General features: G+C 44.1%; 2 long non-coding RNA genes across 2 annotated transcripts, besides 1 other annotated feature; both read left to right on the top strand.

Annotated features, from left to right (window-relative positions):
* The first annotated feature begins 1429 nt into the window (after positions 1-1429).
* On the top strand, positions 1430-5478 carry LINC01372 (long intergenic non-protein coding RNA 1372). The gene is made up of 3 exons (NR_108104.1): positions 1430-1566; positions 4904-5027; positions 5251-5478. It is a non-coding gene; the product is annotated as a long intergenic non-protein coding RNA 1372 (long non-coding RNA).
* Positions 9930-11129: an enhancer, noted in NCBI's record as "MED14-independent group 3 enhancer chr7:66809463-66810662 (GRCh37/hg19 assembly coordinates)". NCBI's record gives its function as "activates an origin of replication core promoter dependent on BRD2, BRD4, P300/CBP and CDK7 cofactors, and independent of MED14, by STARR-seq in HCT116 cells {active_cell/tissue: HCT116}" and the evidence as "EXISTENCE:reporter gene assay evidence [ECO:0000049][PMID:35650434]".
* On the top strand, positions 11063-21728 carry LOC105375337 (uncharacterized). Its single transcript, XR_927635.2, has 3 exons — positions 11063-11787; positions 16438-16489; positions 21485-21728. It is a non-coding gene; the product is annotated as an uncharacterized LOC105375337 (long non-coding RNA).
* Positions 21729-22015: the final 287 nt, after the last annotated feature.

Genomic DNA, 22015 nt, shown 5'->3' on the forward strand with positions numbered 1-22015 from the left:
AGAGTGGTACTAAGCACATAATTTTATGAAATATGATGAAAACATGAGAGTTTTGTTATGACGCACATAACAATAAAGAACCTGTTTCTTTTTAGCAGGCTCCTAAAAAGTACTTCCCTTATAATTATTAAATAAAAACACTCACTTATTCAGTACTCAGCTAGCTTTTAAGATCTGAATAACAGAAGTACACAGTGAGAGAGGTACTTACATGGTTTCCTTGGATACTGGATGATGCCATTCAGGTCTATGTTTTTATCTGAAAATGGTGCCCTGTGGAGAAACGAGGCTTGGTGAGTGGCTGTTTATACATAGTAAGTAAATAGGAACTTTGTTTATTTTACAAAGCATTTTTTATTTTGACCCAGCTTTCCTTTTCTCATCACACCCAACTCCTGTAAACAGCAATAATATGGTAGAACAGGTACTCTGTACAACTCTTTTTAACTCCACTTAAGAAATCATAATTATTAAGGCAGAAGCTCAGAATGCTTTGGCTAAGGATGTTACTCCTTGGGCTGCTTTATATATCTTGACTATTTTATTTATGTCAGACATATTAATGAATATTGCCTGCCTCTCTATTTTCCTCAAAAGGAATATTGCTCAAACCACTAATAAAGAAATTAGTCTAAAACATTCACATAAATGATAAATGTCCTTACCTTAACCAAAAGATAAGAGAACTCAAGCTTTAGCCAGTTTCTAAACATGAAGGGTTTCCATAGACCTTAGCTGCCATTTTACATGTTCCAGTGTCATCCTAGATTCCCAATAGTTTTAGTGCTATGAGCATACAATTTTGACATTCAGTCCCTCAGAACTACACACATTCTAATTTTGGTAGTATGAATAATCTCTCCTATGTGATAAGTTATTTAACCTTCTAATATTTCTTAGAATCGAAAAGAACAAATGAGCTGCAGCAAAGAATGGCAAATAACTTTTATGCTTAACACAATTTAATAACCTGAAATGAAGTAAGTATGTGCTATGTTTCCATTAAAAAGTTTCCAGCCACAATTAATTGAACGAAAACTTGTCTTGTTCCAAGATTATTCTTGGAAATGTAATTTTAAAATCTGCTTGAAATGAGGAAACTTACTTTTTTATACCATATGAAAGCAATTTCATTTTTTAGGAATGATTTTTGGATAGACTTCCGATTGGATATTTTCCATTGGAACTAGCAGCATAGGGGGTCGGGAGGGGGGAGGGGAGGGAAGCAATTCTGTGTTCTTTTGCCAGCACTGACAAAGGTCTGGTTGTCAGTGATACCTTTACAGCTAAATTTACTCCAGAGTGACAGAAACAGGTGCACCTCGGCCTGCCAGACACTTGTGCAGAGAGATCACGCATCTCACGGCTTGACGATCAAGGGGGCAAAGCCTCGGTCTTCATAGAAAAGGAGAGGAGGCAAACGCAGCCCAAACTGGGGGGTTTCTCTTCAAAGCCAGCTGGTCTGGCTTTATTCTACAGGAATTTTTTTACCTGTCAGGGTTTGGACAACAAAGCCCTCAGCAGGTGCTGACGGGTACAACTTCCTGGAGAAGCAGAAAGGCACTGGTGAGTTTCAATTGCCAAAATATATTTTTTAATCTCTAAAAGTTAATTTTGTTGTCTTGAAAGAGGCACCACTGAGGTACCTGTGTTCACAAAGTTGATGAGACCATTGGAATCAGAGCCAACTCACTCAACAGTGGGTTTGCCTTATGTGAAAGTAAAGCTGTTACCATATAACAATTTTTTAGTTTTTTTTTTAGGTTTAAAAAAAGATTCTATTTTTAAATATTGGTCTCTTTCATTACTGTTTTCAATATTTGGAAGATGAAGAGTTAATTACATTTATAATATTACATGATTTAACACACATTTTAGTCTCCTTTTTATCTAATTCTGTCATAATCTTTTCTGAATAAAAAGTTATTTTCTAATAAATCTCCCAAATAAAAAGGTGTAATGGTACATACTATTTTCAAAAATTACATGTACTGGGTTTTTTAAAATGTGTGCATGCTACAAGAACATGATTAGAGAGAACATGCAATTAACTTTATTTTAATACATTTTTAAAATATACGTTGCATATATAATTAAATAATTTAAAATATATTGCATGTTTAATAATTAAAAGTAAATTGTATTGTAGTAAATATTATTTAATAATTAAAAGTGGCAATATTTTCTCATTACTTTACAAAGAGTGTCTTTTGAGAAAAATCTTTGAAATTAACAACCAAGACGGTATTAAAGCATGTTTTTACATCACTGATTTCCAAAATTCGTATATTTGTATATTTTTTATTTTTATTTTGTTAATTCAAAAGTTTAGGCAAAAATATTTTTTTCAGAATAGGACTTTAATTAATGCAAAACATGAAAAAATGAGACCACATGTTAGGGCATATTTTTAAAAAGTGATTCTATTTCAGGGATTCATTCTTTTAACTATGCTTCACAGCATTTCTCTACAAATTGTTGTATTATAGTAAATTGAAAACATTTATTTAAGCAAGTAAGCAGCTCAAAGCTAGAGCCTATACATAGTAAACATATGAAACCATTTTAATAACCAAATTCCATATTCACAAGCAACATGGGCTAATGAATTTAAAAGAAACAACAGTATACATTGATGAAGAATGCTATAAATTATTATGGATAAAATCAATTTTCTGGGCTGTGGGGGGTAGAATTGGTGCTTAAGAAAGAAAAGACTCCTACCAATATAAATTACTAATACTATGAGGCAGTTGTTTTATTCTGATGATCCCATAAATAACTTTAAATCTACATCCTTAACACATGATTTTATAGTGGAAAAAAAATAAGGTCTGACTTTTTTAATGACCACTGTACCTGAAATGATTTTTAAATCAGTGACGACATGGATATGCCACAAATGTATAACTAACATACTCTTTTAAACTGTTGTAATTACTGTTGAAAATTATGAAACATTTGTGGTTTAAAAAATTATCAGAAATACTCCACCCAAACAAAATAGCTAATATTTTAAAAACATAACGTTACCCACAAACATTTTAATGAACCCCTATTTTAAAACATTAAAATCCAAATATACTTTTTATTATAAATTGTTACATATATATTTCAAATGATTAAAACATTTAAAAATATATATGTATTTATTGCGATTTCAAGCTGCTACTTTCATATATATTTTGTCATGCTTCATTATGTTTCATTATATTGATTCAGACACCTGAGTAACTATAGTCGCTAAATTTTTAGAATAACTTCATTAGTCTCTTAAAGAATTAGTATGTATTTCATGCACTTGAAAATTTTACTTATATTTTTCTAGTCTGTTAAATACTATATTCCTAAACAATCACAATATTTACTTTTAAAGATGATAGTTACTGCAAAACTGAACAACATGTGTTCTTATGTCAACTTCAGAATTGTATTTGTTAAGTTTTCACATGCATTACCATTGGCTATAATTATTACATTGTCATTAAGTATAAGCAAACCAAAAGCTTCTGCCAAACTATTGTTTATGACTCTGTCAATTATTTAAGTATAAATGAAGCTATTGGAAATAATATTAAATATAGCTCAAATATTTCAAAATAACTAAAATTTATCATTTTAGCTGTGCCTGAGTTGTAGACTTAGTCTAAAATCCCATTTTTTAAAATTTTCATTATGAGAAGCTGTAAATTCTTGTCTACCATGCAGCTATGTTTGTCCTTTCTAATAAATCTTCAACATTGTGTCACAAAAAAACCTATGCCAACTCCCTCAATGTATGGGAATGGTTTATTTTAATAAAATATTGGAGTTTAAAGTAGCATTGGTTTACACCTGCTCTAAATATTTAACATTAAAACATATGCATTTTAAACATTATTTGCAAGTTATCTTCCTATCTTACAGATAGCTTATTTACAGTGGAGAAAAATTGTTTTCCTGTTTCAGAAAGACACTTGGAAAAACATGTTATTTAACCTTATATATTAATAGGGAAAATCTTGATTCTCCCAGTAGTTAACTTCAATTAATTATATTTTAAATATCAGCCTATTTAATTTCAGTGCAACAAAATTTCCAGCTAAAATGGTTTACTTGTAAGTATTTAAAGCAACAAAAATATTTTGGCAGCTTTATATGTATCTCCTCATTGACCAGCCACCTGACTGACAGCTGTCAACTGTCCATGTGCCAAATGTAACCCAGTAAAGATAAAAATTACATATTACTCATCCCTGTTGATAATACCTGGTGCCAGTAGGTTTTCAAATAGGAATAACTAGACTATAGATAAAAAACAAGTAAGTGGGGAATCATTTCTACTACCTACCATTCCTCCTTTGTCATTAACTCATTTCCCTTTCTTTTTCTTATTGATCCCTTTTCCCTTGCTGTCCATATCTACAGAGTTATTTTCCTTAAAGGAACTTTCAGAATATGTTACAAGTCTGTGTCCATGAAAATACTGGGCAGCCAGGTATTGATGACCACACATTTCTTTTAGTCATATTTTCTTTTGAGCTCATAAACTATTTCGGAGTTATGGGAAGAAAGCTTTAAAGCTTTCAGCTTCTCATTCTCAAAGAAAATGAAATCAAAGAACAAAAATGAAATTTACCAAAGGTCACCAAGGTGGTGACCTTTATGTAGATACAGACTTGGGTCTGTTTCCCAACTTAATATCCAGGGATTTTTTTTCTAATTAGACTTTAAGCATGTTGACTAGTAAACTATAAGTAACAATGATCACGTGGAAGTTGTTTAATGAGTTGTTTCCAGGGAAGGCACTAGTGGCTCATTTTTTCAGTCTACCCGAGGTCCCTGTACTTGAATGTTTGAGAAGCACTTTGTTTCTTTTAAAGATTTATTTTACTTGGATTTTAATTTTTATCTTTATTTTTAGAGAAAACATCTTGCTCTGTTGCTCAGGCTGGAGCGCAATGGTGCCATCGTAGCTTACTGTAACCTTGAACGTCTGTGCTCAAGCAATCTTCCTGCCTCAGCCTCCTGAGTAGCTGGGACTACAGGTATGCATCACAATGCCCAGCGAATTAAAAACAACCTTTTTTTTTTTTTTTTTAAGAGATGGGGTCTCACTCTGTCACCTAAATTGGAGAGCAGTGGCACTGTCATAGCTCACTGTGGCCTTGAAGTTCTGGGCTGAAGCAATCCTTCTGCCTCAGCTTCCTGAGTGGCTGGGACTACAGGCATGAACCACTACATTCGGCTAATTTTAATTTTTTTTTGTAGAGACAGGGTCTTGTTCTATTGTCCAAGCTGGTCTTGAATTCCTGACCTCAAGCAATCCTCCTGCCTCTGCCTCCCAAAGCACTGGGATTATTACAGGTATGAGCCACCGCACTGGGCCGTCATGCTTACTCTTCGGAGAGAGAAGTGAAGTATCTGAACGCCTCAGCCTGAGAATGGGTCATTTGCAAAGTAAATAAAGGCAATGCCAAACGTCAGTACAACAAGCAATTGAACAGAATGATTGCAAACTGCTAATGAAGGAGAAGGCAAGGTGCGGTTAGGATGAACTGTAGAAGGACCCGTCCCCTAGAGCTCATTGAGCATCCACCCTGCTGTCCGGCTGTCCTCTCCATAGGGGGCTCGATGGTCTTTGCCGACTTGAGGAAATAGGTCACTGTATTGCAGCAGATCCTTGGTCGTGGGGCTGGGTTGGTCATTGCCACTATTTTATGGGATGGGGAATTTGGAAGATTATGAAGTGTCAGCTGGTTGCCCTTGGACATGCAGTGAGAGGGAGGATTCTGTTTTGCTGGAATTTATAGTTTTTCTTTCTTTCTTTTTTTTTTTTTTTGAGACAGAGTCTCGCTCTGTCGCCCAGGCTGGAGTGTGCAGTGGCTCGATCTCGGCTCACTTCAAGCTCCGCCTCCCGGGTTCACGCCTTTCTCCTGCCTCAGCCTCCTGAGTAGCTGGGACTACAGGTGCCCGCCACGACGCCCGGCTAATTTTTTTGTATTTTTAGTAGAGACGGGGTTTCATCGTGTTAGCCAGGATGGTCTCGATCTCCTGACCTCGTGATCCGCCCCCCTCGGCCTCCCAAAGTGCTGGGATTACATAAGAGACCATGAGGCAGGGGCGCAGTGGCTCATACCTGTAATCCCAGCGCTTTCGGAGGCTGAGTAGGAAGGATCACTTGATGCCAGGAGTTCGAGACCAGCCTGGGTAACATAGTGAGACCCTCATTTCTACAAAATATAAAAATATTAGCCAGGCATGGTGGTGCATGCCTATAATTTCAGCACTTTGGGAGGCTGAGGCAGGAGGATCGCTTGACCCCAGGAGTTGGAGGATGCAGTGAGCTATGATTGCTTCACTGTACCACAGTCTGGGTGACAGAGAATGACTATATCAAAAAAAAAAAAAAAAAGATCTGGTGGTACAGTTGCCCACCCCACCTCATATCACTGGAGTTTCTTGCTTGGCCCCACATTCTCTCCATAGTCTGACAAGAGAAGAGCCTTTGGGGTATTTTTTTTTTTTTTTTAAGATGGAGTCTCACTCTGTCACCCAGGATGGAGTGGAGTGGGATCTTGGCTCACTGCAACCTCTGCCTCCTGGGTTCAAGTGATCCTCCCACCTCAGCCTCCTGAGTAGCTGGGACTATAGGCGTGTGCCACGACACCTGGCTAATTTTTGTATTTCACTATGTTGGCCAGGCTGGTCTTGAACTCCTGACCACACGTGATCCTCCTGCTTTGGCCTCCCAAAATCCTGGAATCACAGGCATAAGCCACCGTGCCTGGCCTGGGGTGTCTTTATCCTAGACTTTCCCACTTTCTTGTATCCTTGTTGCCTATCCACGTGAGTCTCCTTGGCTCTGGCGTCTGCTTAGTCCTGCCACTTCTAATACCTGATGTGTTCCTCCCTGGAGGTAGCATGACTTAGCAGAAAGAGCACAGCCTTTAGAGCGAGGCACACTAGGTTTGAAACCTAGCTCCCCATTTACCAGCTGTGTGACCCTGGGAAAGTCACTTAACCTCTCTGAGCTTCCAGTCCTCATTTGTAAAATTGGGAACAAGAGTACATAGGGGCTGGGCGCGGTGGCTCATGCCTGTAATCGTAGCACTTTGGGAGGCTGAGGTGGGCAGATCACCTGAGGTCAGGAGTTTGAGACCAGCCTGGCCAACATGACAAAACCCCTCTTTAGTAAAAATACAATAATTAGCTGGGTGTGTTGGCAGGAGCCTGTAATCCCAGCTACTTGGGGGACTGAGGCAGGAGAATTGCCTGAATGTGGGAGGCAGAAGTTGCAGTGAGCCGAGATCACAGCACGACACTCCAGCCTGGGCGACAGAGTGAGACTCTGTCTCAAAAAAAAAAAAAGGGGTGCATTGGGATTGTTGTGAGGATTCAATGGGACAGTGTATGCAAACCACCTAATACAAGGCACATAGTAGGAGCTTATTATGGTGATGGGGTGGCATTGGCCACAGGGCCTTGGGCTCAGCCTGTCCCTCTGTCCCTCTGATCTGGATGGGTGGGTATCCAGGGAAGTACCCCTACTTGATAGGCCTCAAGCCCTCCCTCCTTGTGTCCAGATCCTTTCAGCACCTGCCTCCACGTCCTGCCCCTCTGCCCTCTCTCCCTGGCATGATCCTGGCCTTCCAGTCACATCCCAAAATCACTTTGCCTGGTTTCCTTTGGGAAGCAAAGCCTGTCTGGGGCCCTCCATAGACAGAGAAGCTGTGAAGGAGATAAATGCTGAAGAAGGGGTGAGGAGACAGACTCAGGGGCCAATCAAAGTCAGGAAACAGGCTGGGTGTGGTGGCTCATGCCTGTAATCCCAGCACTTTGGGAGGCTGAGCCGCGGATGACCTGAGTTCAGGAGTTCGAGACCAGCCTGGCCAACATGGGGAAACCTCATCTCCACTAAAAATACAAAAATTAACCGAGCATGGTGGTGCATGCCTGTAATCCCAGCTACTCGGAAGGCTGAGACAGGAGAATCACTTGAACCCAGTGAGCCGAGATCGCTTCACTGCAGTCCAGCCTGGGTGACAGAGCGAGACTCCATCTCAAAAAAAAAAAAAAAAAAAAAAAAAAGGCTGGGTGTGGTGGCTCACGCCTGTAATCTCAGCACTTTGGGAAGCTGAGGTGGGTGGAACGCTTAATGTCAGAAGTTCAAGACCAACCTGGCCAACATGATGAAACCCCGTCTCTACTAGAAATACAAAAATTAGCCAGGCGTGGTGATGCACAACTGTAGTCCCAGCTACTCGGGAGGCTGAGGCACGAGAATCGCTTGAACCCAGGAGGAGGAATTTGCAGTGAGCTGAGATCATGCCACTACACTCCAGCCTGGGTGATAGAACGAGACTCTGCCCACCAAAAAATAAAAAGCCAGGAAACACACATACTCACACCCCTGCATCCAGACTCACACCAGAGTCACCCACACCCACATCCAGGCACACACTCACACAAGAACACACACCCGAAGAGACAGAGAGGCGCTCATTCTTGACAAACTTATACAGGATTTTGCAATCTGAAAATTCAGAATAAGGCTATTTGAATTCCAGTATCAATATCAGTTTTGTGTCATTCTGCAAAATACTGTTTTGTTGTGAATTGAACAGTGAGGGGCTGGGACAGTGACTGGGGGCATCACCATAGTCAATGCTTAGAGCCTCAAAAGGTTGTAATCTGGCTCTGGGGAGGAGTGAGGCTGAGCTGAGTCTCCCACGGTCTTTAGAATGTGTCCTGGCAGGAGGACTGAGAACAGGCTGGTCAGGACTGGAGTCAGCTAATGGACAGACAGGGACCAGAGACTGTTGCTGGGGGAAATGCGGCTTTATGCAAGTATCTCGGGCTGGGCAGGGGAATCACCCAGACTGCTTACCCCTCACTCCTCATGCTCAGCATGTCAAGGGCCCAAGTCTTCCTTTTCTGTCACTCTCTCTGTCATTCCTGAATAGATATCACCCTATAGATGTCTGATGTGAAATTGCATTGGCAGTAATAGGACATGGGTCTGTCCTGGGTGCAGGATGAAGGCAGGAAGGCTGATAGAACAGATTTTTATGATCATACATCCCACTGGGGTGAATGCAACATCATCCCATGTTATATTGGGGACTAATTCAGTCCAGCCATTTCCAGGACCTTTGCTGGGAGGTTGAAGCCTCAGGGCTCAGTGCCAGCTGGCTGGGGTGAGATTGGGAGCAGTCCATTAGCCATGAGTTGCCGATCTGCATCTGCACCTGCTCCAGCTGGGCTTTGGCAGCCGTGATTCCTGAACTGATGCATGGCTCTGCTTGCATGGACCAAGCTTGCAACATCTTTCCACAATAAAACCGTGATGGGAGTTAATAGTGTGAATCGCTGTTCAATTGAACAGGGTCCATAAAATGTTTATGAGGCATAACCAAGGGGGCTGAATGGGTGGCCAGCGCTTGGCTTTTGGCCAGGGGTAACACCTGGGGTGTCCCTAGCCAGGGCGATATCTTAAGAATTTCTGATGTTGTGCACTCAGATCGACTTCTTTTAGAACTGTTCCAAGGTGTTTAGGAGGTAGACTTATTCACTTGGGAAGTCTTTCTTTGTTTTTTGTTTTTTTAGAGACAGAATCTTGCTCTGTCACTCAGATTGGAGCACAGTGGTGCAATCATAGCTCACTGCAGCCTCAAACTCCTGGGCTGACATGATCCTCCCACCTCAGCCTTCAGATTAGCTGGGACTACAGGTGTGGCTGATTAAAAATTTTCTTTTTTTGTAGAGACAGGGTTTCACTATATTGCTCAGCCTGGTCTTAAACTTCTGGGCTCAAGTGATCTTTCCATCTCGGCCTCCCAAAGCACTGGGATTACAGATGTGAGCCACCAGCACACCCGGCCATCATTTGGGAATTCTTGCTGGTGGTTATTAAATCTGCTAATGTCCTTAGTTTCTTCTACTAACATTCAGAGCATTCTAGTTTCTGGGAGAGTAAGTAGAAACCACCGGATATACAATTGCATTAGTCAGGATTACTGTTACTAGTTGCTGCAACTAAATAGCCTTAAATCACCACTGGTTTACACAACACAGGCTTATTCCTTGCTCATGCTGCATCTCCAGTGAGAGCCAACAGGAGTGTCTCTCTGCTCCATATAGTCACTCAGGGCCCCAGGCTAGAGGAGACATTACAGAAGACATGTTGTCTTTGAGATCTCTATGGAAGGAAGAGAGGAATGGATGAGGCATGCTGGCCTTAACTGCCTTGACCTGGAGGTAACACATGTCATTTTTGTCACAGTCTCTGAGAGAGGAGAAAGAAACCGGACAGGCAGGCAGTTAGAGTGGGTCCTCAGTTGAATTCTTTCAAACAAAAGAACAGCCTGAAAAATCAAGCTGCAGGCACAAATAAGGGAACTTGCACAGGGGGGCTTGCCTGAGACATGCGCACAGCTCCACAGATAAAAAAGCCTACACAGGTGACTTGCCTAGACATGCCCACAATGGAAAAGTACATCTCCTGACAAATGTGCAGTAAGGGGAACAAAGCAATATAGAGAACTCAAGCTAAGGGGCTGCATGTGCATTAGGAGAATGGGGTGGGGAGCTACCAGAAGTTTGTGCCTTTATGCAAATGAGATACCCAGCCCTCATCAGTTTCTTATAAAAGCCTTTGCATTCAACTGTAAAAACAGCAACCCATTTGGGCTCCCTCTCTGCTGCAGAGAGCTTTCTTTCACTTATTAAACTTTCACTCCTACCTCACCCTATGTGTCCACGCTCCTTAATTCTCTTGGTCATGAGACAAAGAACTCCGACTGACACCTCACAAAGAGAGACTGCTACATTGTGGTGCATTGGGGAGACTGCAACATCTCTGTGTGGAAAAAACAGTGTTTTTTTGAGGCTCTCTCTCTTGCACAGACTGGAGTGCAGTGGCACGATCTCGGCTCACTGCAACCTCTGCCTCCTAGGTTCAAGGAATCCTCTCACCTCAGCCTCCCAAGTAGCTGGGATTACAAATGTGTGTCACCACACCCAGCTCATTTTTGTATTTTTAGTAGGGGTTTCACCATGTTGGCCAGGCTGGTCTCGAACTCCTGACCTCAAGTGATCTGCCCAATTCGGCCTCCCAAAGTGCTGGGATTACAAGCGTGAGCCACCACACTCAGCCACAAGCTGGTTTTTCTCTGCTCTCACCCCACAACAACCAACACGGAAGACTTCTGTGACCAAATGTTTAGGGATTTCTCCCCACTAGCAAACACGTAATTCATTCTGCAGCAGATACTAGCTGGGCATCCTCTCCTTGGAGACAGCATCTGATCCCATAGGTTGAGAAATCAGCCCCCAAGACTACTCCCTACTTTGATGCCAATCACAAGCCCCAGGTTGTTTTATCTGTGCTTCTGACTGGTGACTATAAATCAGGGTTCCCACAACTCCCTCTTTGGGTTTGCTTAATTTGCTGGAGTGGCTCACAGAACTCAGGGAAACACTTACATTTACTGGTTTATTATAAAAGATGTTCCAAAGGCTACAGAGGAAGAGGACTGTGAACCCCGAGCATTTGAGACAGGTCTCGGTAAATTTAGAAAGCTTATTTTACCAAGGTTGAGGATGCACACCCATGACACAGCCTCAGGAAGTGCTGACGTCATGTGCCCAAGGAGGTCGGGGCACAGCTTGGTTTTATGCATTTCAGGGAGACGTGAGACATCAATCAATATATGTAAGAAGTACATTGGTTTGGTCTGGAAAGACAGGACAACTTGAAGCAAAGGCTGGAAGACTGCAAGCAGGGAGGAGGCTTCCCGGTCATAGGTGAGAGAGGAATGGTTGCATTCTTCTGAGCTTCTGAGTAGCCTTTAAGGCAGTCAGATATGCATCTATCTCAGTGAGCTAAGGGATGACTTTGGATAGAATGGGAGGCAGATTTGCCCTGAGCAGATCCCAGCTTGAAGGAGCTCAAGATATTTTCCTTTCACAGGTGCATAGGGTGAGGTATGGAGGAAGGGATGGAGAGATTCCATGCCATCCCTGGGTGCAACACCCCCCCACCCCCACTAGGAATCTCCACTTGTTCAGCCTTCTGGAAGCCCCCTGAACCCAGTCCTTTAGGGTTTTTATAGAATCATTACATAGGGCATGATGGATTAAGTGACTGGCTGTTGGTGATTCAGGTCACCGTTGAGCCCATCTCTCCTCCCTGGAGGTTAGGGGTGGGGCTGAAAGTCCCAACCCTCTAATCCTTCCTTGGTCTTTGGGTGACTTAGCCCCTATCCTGAAGCTACTCATTAACATACAAAAAGATGATCACTTTAAGGATTCTAAGGCTGTTGGGAGTTGTGTGCCAGGAAAGGGGACGAAGACTAAATATATATTTTACAAGTTCACACAGTCCATTGGTCTAAACTGGTTACACATTTTCAAGTGGTTTGTAAGGAAGGCAGGGGACGATCAGGGTACAGAGGGCACACTTGGTGAGCATGAACTTGTCTGCACAGCTGCTTCCCCCTGGGATTCCCTGGCATTTTGGGAGGTGGCAGCATGTGGCCACGGCAGACACCCTCTTTATTAGCACGTTGCTGTGGGCTGGTGTCCACCATCTGGCCTCCAGGAGTCAGCCCACCTATGGAAGGCAGTGACATGCATTGATATAAAAGCAAGCCAGGCATGGTGTCTCACACCTCTAATGCCAGTACTCTGGGAGGCTCAGGCAGAAGGAGTACTTGAGGCCAGGAGTTCAAGACCAGCCTGGGCAGCATAGCAAGATCCTATACTAAAAAAATTAAAAAATAAGGCTGGGCACGGTGGCTCACACCTGTAATCCCAGCACTTTGGGAGGCCAAGGCGGGAGGATCATGAGGTCAGGGTATCAAGACCATCCTGGCTAACACGGTGAAACCCCGTCTCTACTAACAATACAAAAAATCAGCCGGGCGTGGTGGCATACACCTATAGTCCCAGCTATTTGGGAGGCTGAGGCAGGAGAATTGCCTGAACCTGGGAGGCGGAGGTTGCAGTAAGCTGAGATTGTGCCACTGCTCTCCAGCCTGGGTGACAGAGCGAGACTCTGTCTCAAAAAATAAATAAAGAAAGCAAGAAAGAAAAGAAAAAAAATAAAAAACTTACCCAGGTGTAGTGGTGTATACCTGCAGTCCCAGCTACTCGGGAGCATGGCTTGGGACCAGGAGTTGGCGGCTGCAGTTAGCCATGATTGCACCAGCACACTCCAGCCTGGGAGACAGAGTGAGACCCTGTCTAAAAGTACCGGGCAGTAAAAAAGTCAGAATATAAGTCTTATACTAAAAACGTCAGTAGATCACAAACAACATAAGTAAACCTGAAAAACATTATGCTGCTTAAAAAAAAAAATCTTAGACTGGGCACTGTGGCTCATGCTTGTAATCTTAGCACTTTGGGAGCCTGAGGTGGGAGGATTGCTTGAGGCCAGGAGTTTGAGACCAGCCTGGGCAACATAGTGAGACCCTATGTCTTAAAAAAAAAAAAAAGCCAGGTGTGGTGGTATGTGCCTGTAGTCCCAGCTACTCAGGAGGCTGAGCTGGGAGGATCGCTTGAGGTCAGGAGGTCGAGGCTGCAGTGAGCTATGATCGCACCACTGCACTCCAGCCTGGGAGACAGATTGAGACTCTGTCTCTATTAAAAAAAGCAGGCCCAACCCAAGGGTGTCTTCTCTTTGGGGAGTTACTCTCCTCATACTGCCTCCATAAGGTCCATTCCCCAAAAAGGAGCAGCCCCCTCTCATTGCTGTCCCCTGATGGGACATCCAGATCACCCAGGAAAGCTAAAAACAGTCAGCTCCGGGGCTCTGCCTAGAGATTCTGAATGGACGGCTCTGCGGTGAGGCTGGGTTTTGGAAAAACTCTTGTGCTCGTGATGCAGTCAAAGGAAGGTCCGCGGGTGAATCATTCTGTGAAGCCAACTTTGCAAGATTCCTGAGGACAGACTGTGTGACCTGTCCCTGTCCCTGCAGCCCATGGGCGGAGGCTTCAACACACATTTTACAGTTTACAATGAACTTTATTTTTTAATTTTATCGATTCAGGGACTCACTCTGTCACCCAGGCTGGAGTGCAGTGGCGCAATCTGGGCTCACTGCAACCACCACTTCCCAGGCTCAAGCAATTATCCTGCCTCAGCCTCTGGAGTAGCTGGGACTACAGGTGTCAGCCATAACACCCAGCTAATTTAAATTTTTTTTTTTTTATACAGATGGGGTTTCAACATGTTGGCCAGGCTGGTCTCGAACTCCTGACCTCAAGCGATGTGCCTGCCTCAACCTCCCAAAGTACTGGGGTTATAGGTGTGAGATACCGCGCCCGGCCCACAAGGCACTTTTGATTACATTCATTTAACTTTTAGCAGGTGTCTGCTGTTTTTCAGGGTCTCATTTGCTGTCTAAGGCAATATCCGAATGCTAGTTATTATTGCAATGGCAATTATGTCATTCCCATTTTATAAAGGAGGCGACCCTAGGTGATTGGCCAAAAGTTGTGAAGCCAAGTGACCGAGCTGGATCTAAAACTCATTTTTAATCCAACTTTTTATTTATTTGTTTTTAGAAACAGGGTCTTGCTCTGTTGCCTAGGCTGGAGTGCAGTGGCATGATCACAGCTCACTGCTGCCTTGAACTTGTGGGCTCAAGTCATCCTACTGCCTCAGCCTTCCAAGTAGCTGGGACTACAAGCATGTATCACCATGCTCAGCTAATTAAAAAAAAATTTTTTAAGATGGCCGGGTGTGGTGTCTCATGCCTATAATCCCAGCACTTTGGAAGGCCGAGGCGGGCAGATCACCTGAGGTCAGGAGTTTGAGATTAGCCTGGCCAACATGGTGAAACCCCAACTCTACTAAAATACAAAAATTATCTAGGTGTGGTGGTGGGTGCCTGTAATCCCAGCAACTCAGGAGGCTGAGGCAGGAGAATCGCTTGAACCCAGGAGGTGGAGGTTGCGGTGAGCTGAGATTGCACCACTGCACTCCAGCCTGGGTGACAGAATGAGACTCCCTCTCAAAAAAAAAAAAAAATTTTTTTTTAAGAGATAGGGTCTCACTATGTTTCCCAGGCTGGTCTCAAACTCTTGGCCTCAAGCAATCCTCCTGTCTTGGCCTCCCAAAACATTGGGATTAGAAGCATAAGCCGCTACACCCAGCCTTCTCCCAGCTCTGTATTTGGCCATCTCTTCATTAAGACAAGCCACTTCTGACCAGGTTCTCTGCTTCCAGAAAGATATCACTCCCCACCCTTATTGGAGAAGTGCTTTCTCCACCCTCCACCCCCCGCCATACCTCCATTACCTGCCACACAGGTTCTATTCCAAGTCTTCTCAGTGCAAATTGGATGGGTTAATGAAGAAGGTGCTGACATGTGAGGTATGACATCTCACTTGGAATAAATTATGGGTCCCTCTTTTATTTAATGAAAGCAAATTTAAGTGTAGAAATCATCTGAAACAGATGGTTCAGCAGAGCACTTTGTATGAGAACCGAGGTCACAGCTAACACTGTAGACGGTAGGTTTATACATTAATTGTGACAGGCTTTGGGCAGATAGTGAAAAAGTACTTGGTACTAAAAATATCAGAATATAAGTCTTGTACTAAAAAAGTCAGTAGAACACAAACAACATAAATAAACCTGAAAAATATTGTGCTGCTTAAAAAAAATATTAGGCTGGGCATGGTGGCTCATGCCTGTAATCCTAACAGTCTGGGAAGCCAAGGCAGGCAGATTGCTCGAGCCCAGGAGTTTCGGATCAGCCTAGGCAACATAGTGACACCCCATCTTTACAAAAATTAAAAAAAAATTAGCCAGATAGAGTGGCGTGCTCCCAGCTACTCGTGAGGCTGAGGCAGGAGGATCACTTGAACCCAGGAATTTGAGGCTGCAGTGAGCTATGATCACTTCACTGCACTCCATCCTGGGCGACAGAGCAAGACCTTGTCTCTATAAAAACAATGAAAAAAAATCTTAGATCAAACGGTCTATAATGTATGATTTCATTTAAGTTCTGGAACTAGTAAAACCAACCTATAGCCATAAAAATCAGATCAGAGGACCGGGCACGGTGGCTCACGCCTGTAATCCCAGCACTTTGGGAGACTGAGGTGGGCAGATCACGAGGTCAGGAGATTGAGACCATCTGGGCCAACATGGTGAAACCCTGTCTCTACTAAAAATACAAAAAATTAGCTGGGCGTGGTGGCAGGTGCGTGTAGTCCCAGCTACTCGAGAGGCTGAGGTGGGAGAATCGCTTGAACCCGGGAGGTGGAGGTTGCTGCAATGAGCTGAGATTGCACCACTGCACTCCAGACTGGGTGACAGAGTGAGACTCCGTTTCAAAAACAAAAAAACAAAAAAAAAACCCCAGAAATCAGATCAGTGGTAGCTTTTAGGGAAAAGCTATACAGGCAACATTGTGGGGTGATAAAATGTTCTGTGTCTTGACAGAGGTGCTGGTTACGTGGGAATTTGATTTGTCAAAACTGATTGAATGACACAGGTAAGATCTGTGCATTTGGCTATGAGGAAATTATCTCTGAAAAATAAAAGTCAGTAACTAACACAATATGCTGGAAGATGAAAGGTAATGAAGTAACTTGAATGAGAGTTACTTTTCTTTATAAAGAAAAGAGGTTTAATTGACCCACAGTTCAGCATGGCTGGGGAGGCCTCAGGAAACTTACAATCGTGGTGGAAGATGAAGGGGAAAGCAAGGCACCTTCTTCACAAGGTGGCAGGAGGGAGAAGTGCTGAGCGAAGGGAGAAGAGGCCCTTATAAAGCCATCAGATCTCATGAGAACTCACTCACTATCATGAGAACAGCATGGGGGAAACCACCCCCATGATTCACTTACCTCCACCTGGTCTCTCCCTTGACACGTGGGGATTATGGGGATTTGGGGGATTATAATTCAAGATGAGATTTGGGTGGGGACACAAAGCCTAATCATATAATTCCACCCTTGGCCCCTCACAAATCTCATGTTCCTTTCAAAACCAATCATGTCTTCCCAACAGTCCCCCTAAGTCTTAATTCATTCCAGCATTAACCCAAAAGTCCAAGTCCAAAGTCTCATCTGAGACAAAGCAAGTTCCTTCTGCCTATGAGCCTGTAAAATCAAAAGCAAGTTAGTTACTTCCTAGATACAAGGAGGGGACAGGCATTGGGTAAATATGCCCATTCCAAATGGGAGAAAATTGGCCAAAACAACGGGGCTACAGATCCCTTGCAAGTCTGAAATCCAGCAGGGCAGCCAAATCTTTTTTTTTTTTTCTTTTTTTGAGACAGAGTCTCCCTCTGTCACCAGGCTGGAGTGCAGTGGCGTGATCTTGGCTCACTGCAACCTCCACCTCCTGGGTTCAAGCGATTCCCCTGCCTCAGCCTCCTGAGTAGCTGGGACTGCAGGTGCACACCACCACACCCAGTTAATTTTTTTTTTTTTTGTATTTTTAGCAGAGATGGGGCTTCACCATGTTGGCCAGGACGGTCTCGATCTCCTGACCTCATGATCCGCCCACCTTGGCCTCCCAAAGTGCTGGGATTACAGGTGTGAGCCACCACGCCTGGCTGGCAGTCAAATCTTAAAGTTCTGAAATGATCTCCTTTGACTCCACGTCTCACATCCAGGTCATGCTGGTGCAAGAGGTGGGCTCCCATGGCCTTGGGCAGCTCTGCCCCTGTGGCTTTGCAGGGTACAGAAGACTGCTAAAGAGTCAGAAGGAAGAAGCACCACAAGGAGATGATGGATCCCTGACCAAGCAAATCCATCAATTTTAATCCTAAAATTAAGCCTACTGGCCAGGTGCAGTGGCTCACACCTGCAATCCCAGCACATTGGGAGACCAAGGCAGGTGGATCACTTGAGGCCAGGAGTTTGAGACCAGCTTGGCCAACATGGTGAAACCCCGTCTCTACTAAAAATACAAAAAATAGCCGGGCATGATGGAGTATGCCTGTAGTCCCAGCTACTCGGGTGGTTGAGGCACAAGAATTGTTTAAACCCGGGAAGTGGAGGTTGCAGTGAGCCGAAATTGAGCCACTGCACTCCAGCCTGGGCAACAGAGCGAGATTCTGTCTCAAAAAAAAAAAAAAAAAAAAAAAAAAAAAATATATATATATATATATATATATATACACACACACACACACACACAATTATATATATATGTGTGTGTGTGTATATCTATCTATCTATCTATCTATCTATCTATCTATCTATCTATCTATATACATATACACAAAATTAAGCCTACAAATATCTCTAATCCTAGCCCTGGTTTTAGCCCTACCCTTATCCCTAACCCTAAGACTAATCCTGCTCATAACCCTAAACCTAGCCTGAATCCTAGCCGTAGCCATCACTTAACCCTAACTTAACTCTAGTCCTATCCCTAACCCTACCCCTAAATCAAATCCTAATCCTAAAAACAGCCCTAGCTTCAATCCTAACTCTACCATAAGCCCTACTCTAGCCCTAAACCTAATGCTAAATCTAAGTGAGGTTTGCAAAATGAACCCGGTGAAGCTGATACTAAACTTTCCTCTTTTATTCTGTTGCACTCAGGCCAAATGAGTCTTGAGGAGTTGGGAAAAAAATGGGGCAGGGAGGGAAATCTTAGCTTCCTACTGCAGAGGCGACTTTCAGCATAAATCGTCGCCTTCCACAAGAAAGCCAACATGTTTCCAACAAGGAATCTAAATGGAATCTTTCCTGAGTTAAGAGTGCACAGGGCTGTTACCAGCACCCACTCTCACAACAGACACCGGAATCACAAATGTCAGGGCTGGAAGAGGCTGTCGGGCAGCCCTTGAGGGGATGAGAGACTGAGTACCATGAAGAGCTAGTGACTTGCCTGAGGTCCCTAAAGGAAATCAAATTCCATCCTGCACCTCCTCCAATAATACTGGCTTCCAGGCCAGGCGCGGTGGCTCATGCCTGTAATCCCAGCACTTTGGGAGGCTGAGGCAGGCAGATCACGAGGTCAGGAGTTCGAGACCAGCCTGGCCAACATGGTGAAACTTCATCTCTACTAAAAATACAAAAATTAGCCGGGTGTGGTGGCACGTGCCTATAATCCCAGCTACTCGGGAGGCTGAGGCAGGAGAATCACTTGAACCCGGGAGGCGGAAGTTGCAGTGAACTGAGATCGAGCCACTGCATTGCAGCCTGAGTAATAGAATGATGACTCTCTCAAAAGAAAAAAAAAAGCAAAAAACCGGCTTCCAGCATTTGTGAAATGGCGTGATCAGGTCAAGTATTAGTTCAGGCCATCTCCAGGGTCTCTTGTTTGTTTGTTTTGAGACAGGGTCTCACACTGTCATGCAGACTGGAGTGCAGTGGCATGATCATAGCTAACTGTGGCCTCCAACTCCTGGGCTCAAGTGATCTTCCCACCTCAGTCACCCGAGTAGCTAAGCCTACAGGCATGCACCACCATGTCCGGCTAATTTTATTTTTTTGTAGGGGTGGGGTCTTGCTATGTTGCCTAGGCTGATCTTGAATTCCTGGGATCAAGGAATCCTTCTGCTTTGGTCTCCCAAAGTGCTAGGATTACAGGTGTGAGCCACTGTGCCTGGCCAAAGGGGTGCATTTTGTGTGTTTATTTTTATTTTTATTTTTTGAGACAGAGTTTCACTCTGTCGCCCAGTCTGGAGTGCAGTGGCACGATCTCAGCTCACTACAGCCTCTCCCTCCCGGGTTCAAGCGATTCTGCCACCTCAGCCTCCAGAATAGCTGGGACTACAGGTGCCCACCACCACGCCCGGCTAATTTTTGTATTTTTAGTAGAGATGGGGTTTCACCATGTTGACCGGGCTGGTCTTGAACACCTGAACTCAGGTGATCAGCCTGCCTCGGCCTTCCAAAGTGCTGGGATTACAGGTGTGAACCACTGCGCTCAGCCAGCGGTGCATTTTTGAGTAGTAAATGTGGGGAACACGGCTATAGCACATAAACCCCAGCAACCATGCGGCTGCCACCAGGTTTGAGGGGACGCTGGTGGCCCCCTTCCACTGGGCAGCTTGCTCCTTCCGCCCTGTAATGTGATGTTCCTTGAAGTGTGCTTCAAATTCCTTAGCTATAACGTTTTATTTCAGAATAAAAATAAATAACCAGGTCAGGTAAAGAAAACTGATGGCAAGCCTTGCTGTGCGAGAGGAATTTTTTTTGTTTTTTTTTTTTACAGGTGACAATTCCCAGTTAAACATTTTCACACAGTCAAGGAGGGGGACAGCTTGGGCTCACAACAATGCTGCTAGAAAATCGGCCGGGCACGATGGCTCATGCCTGTAATGCCAGCACTTTGGGAGGCCGAGGCAGGCAGATCACATGAGGTCAGGAGTTTCAGATTAGCCTGGCCAACATGGTGAAAAGTCGTCTCTACTAAAAATACAAAAATTGGCCAGGTGTGGTGGTGGGCACCTGTAATCCCAGCTACTCAGGAGGCTGAGGCAGGAGAATTGCCTGAACCTGGGAGGTGGAGTTTGCAGTGAGCTGAGATCACACTACTACACTTCAGCCTGGAAAACAGAGTGACACTCTGTCTCAAAAATAAAATAAAATAAAATAATGGACTGGAAAATCACTCATGGGCCAAGCGGATTGCTTGATGGCTTGCCCAAGAGATATTTGAAAATATTAAGAGAAATAGGAATTATGGATCACGATGGGCCCTTCAAAGAGGAGAAGAACGATGCATCGTCAGCTTCTGCAGAAGATGAATGACAGAGAAAAGATAGATGCGCTTAGGCCGGGCGCCGTGGCTCACGCCTGTAATCCCAGCACTTTGGGAGGCTGAGGTGGGCAGATCACGAGGTCAGGAGATCGAGACCATCTTGGCTAACATGGTGAAACCCTGTCTTTACTAAAATACAAAAATTATTATATTTTTGTAGAAATGTGGTGGCAGATGTCTGTAATCCCAGCTACTTGGGAGGCTGAAGCAGGGGAATCACTTGAATCTGGGAGGTGGAGGTTGCTGTGAGCCAAGATCACACCACTGCACTCCAGCCTGGCAACAGAGCAAGACTCTCTCAAAAAAAAAAAAAAAAAAAAAAAGAATAAAGAAAAAAGAAAAGATAGTGGCTCACGCCTGTAATCCCAGCACTTTGGGAGGCCGAGGCGGGCAGATCATGAGGTCAGGAGATCGAGACCATCCTGGCTAACACGGTGAAACCCTGTCTCTACTAAAAATACAAAATATTAGCCGGGCGTGGTGGCGGGCGCCTGTAGTCCCAGCTACTGGGGAGGCTGAGGCAGGAGAATGGCGTGAACCTGGGAGGCGGAGCTTGCAGTGAGCCGAGATTGCACCACTGCACTCCACCCTGGGCAACAGAGTGAAACTCCGCCTAAAAAAAAAAAAGATAGATACGCTGTTTTTTTCTTTTTTTTTCCACACTAGAGTTTTATACTCTTCTCACATAGTTTTGTTCTTTTCAGTAAAAGTAATTCATTAAATCTAAACCTAGCTGTGATGGTTTCTTGTTTCTTTGCAGGATGTATTTTGTTTTGCTTGTTAAACAAGTAACTCTACAAATCGGAAAACGTGCCTTGTCAGTATACCCCAGGTATGGAGTTTTCGTTGATCAAATATGGTCCCTGGAGGTCTGTTTAGGGACCAGGCAGGGTTTTTTTTCTAGCACTTTGTAGGAGCAAAGAACCAAGGCCAGGGCTGGGCGCGGTGGCTCACACTTGTAATCCCAACACTTCAATGGGAAGACCACTTGAAGCCAGGAGTTTGAGACCAGACTGGACAACATAGCAAGACCTCATCTCTACAAAGAAATTAAAAATAATTTGTCAGGGCCAGGTGCAGTGGCTCACGCCTGTAATCCCAGTACTTTGGGAGGCAGAAGCAGGTGGATCACCTGAGGTCAGGAGTTCGAGACCAGCCTGGCTAACATGGCGAAACCTCTACTAAAAATACAAAAAATTAGCTGGGCCTAGTGGCACATGCCTGTAATCCCAGCTACTTGGGAGGCTGAGGCAGGAGAATTGCTCAAACCCTGGAGGCAGAGGTTGCAGTG

Source organism: Homo sapiens, chromosome 7 (assembly GCF_000001405.40).
Source record: "Homo sapiens chromosome 7, GRCh38.p14 Primary Assembly".
Lineage (NCBI taxonomy): Eukaryota > Metazoa > Chordata > Mammalia > Primates > Hominidae > Homo > Homo sapiens.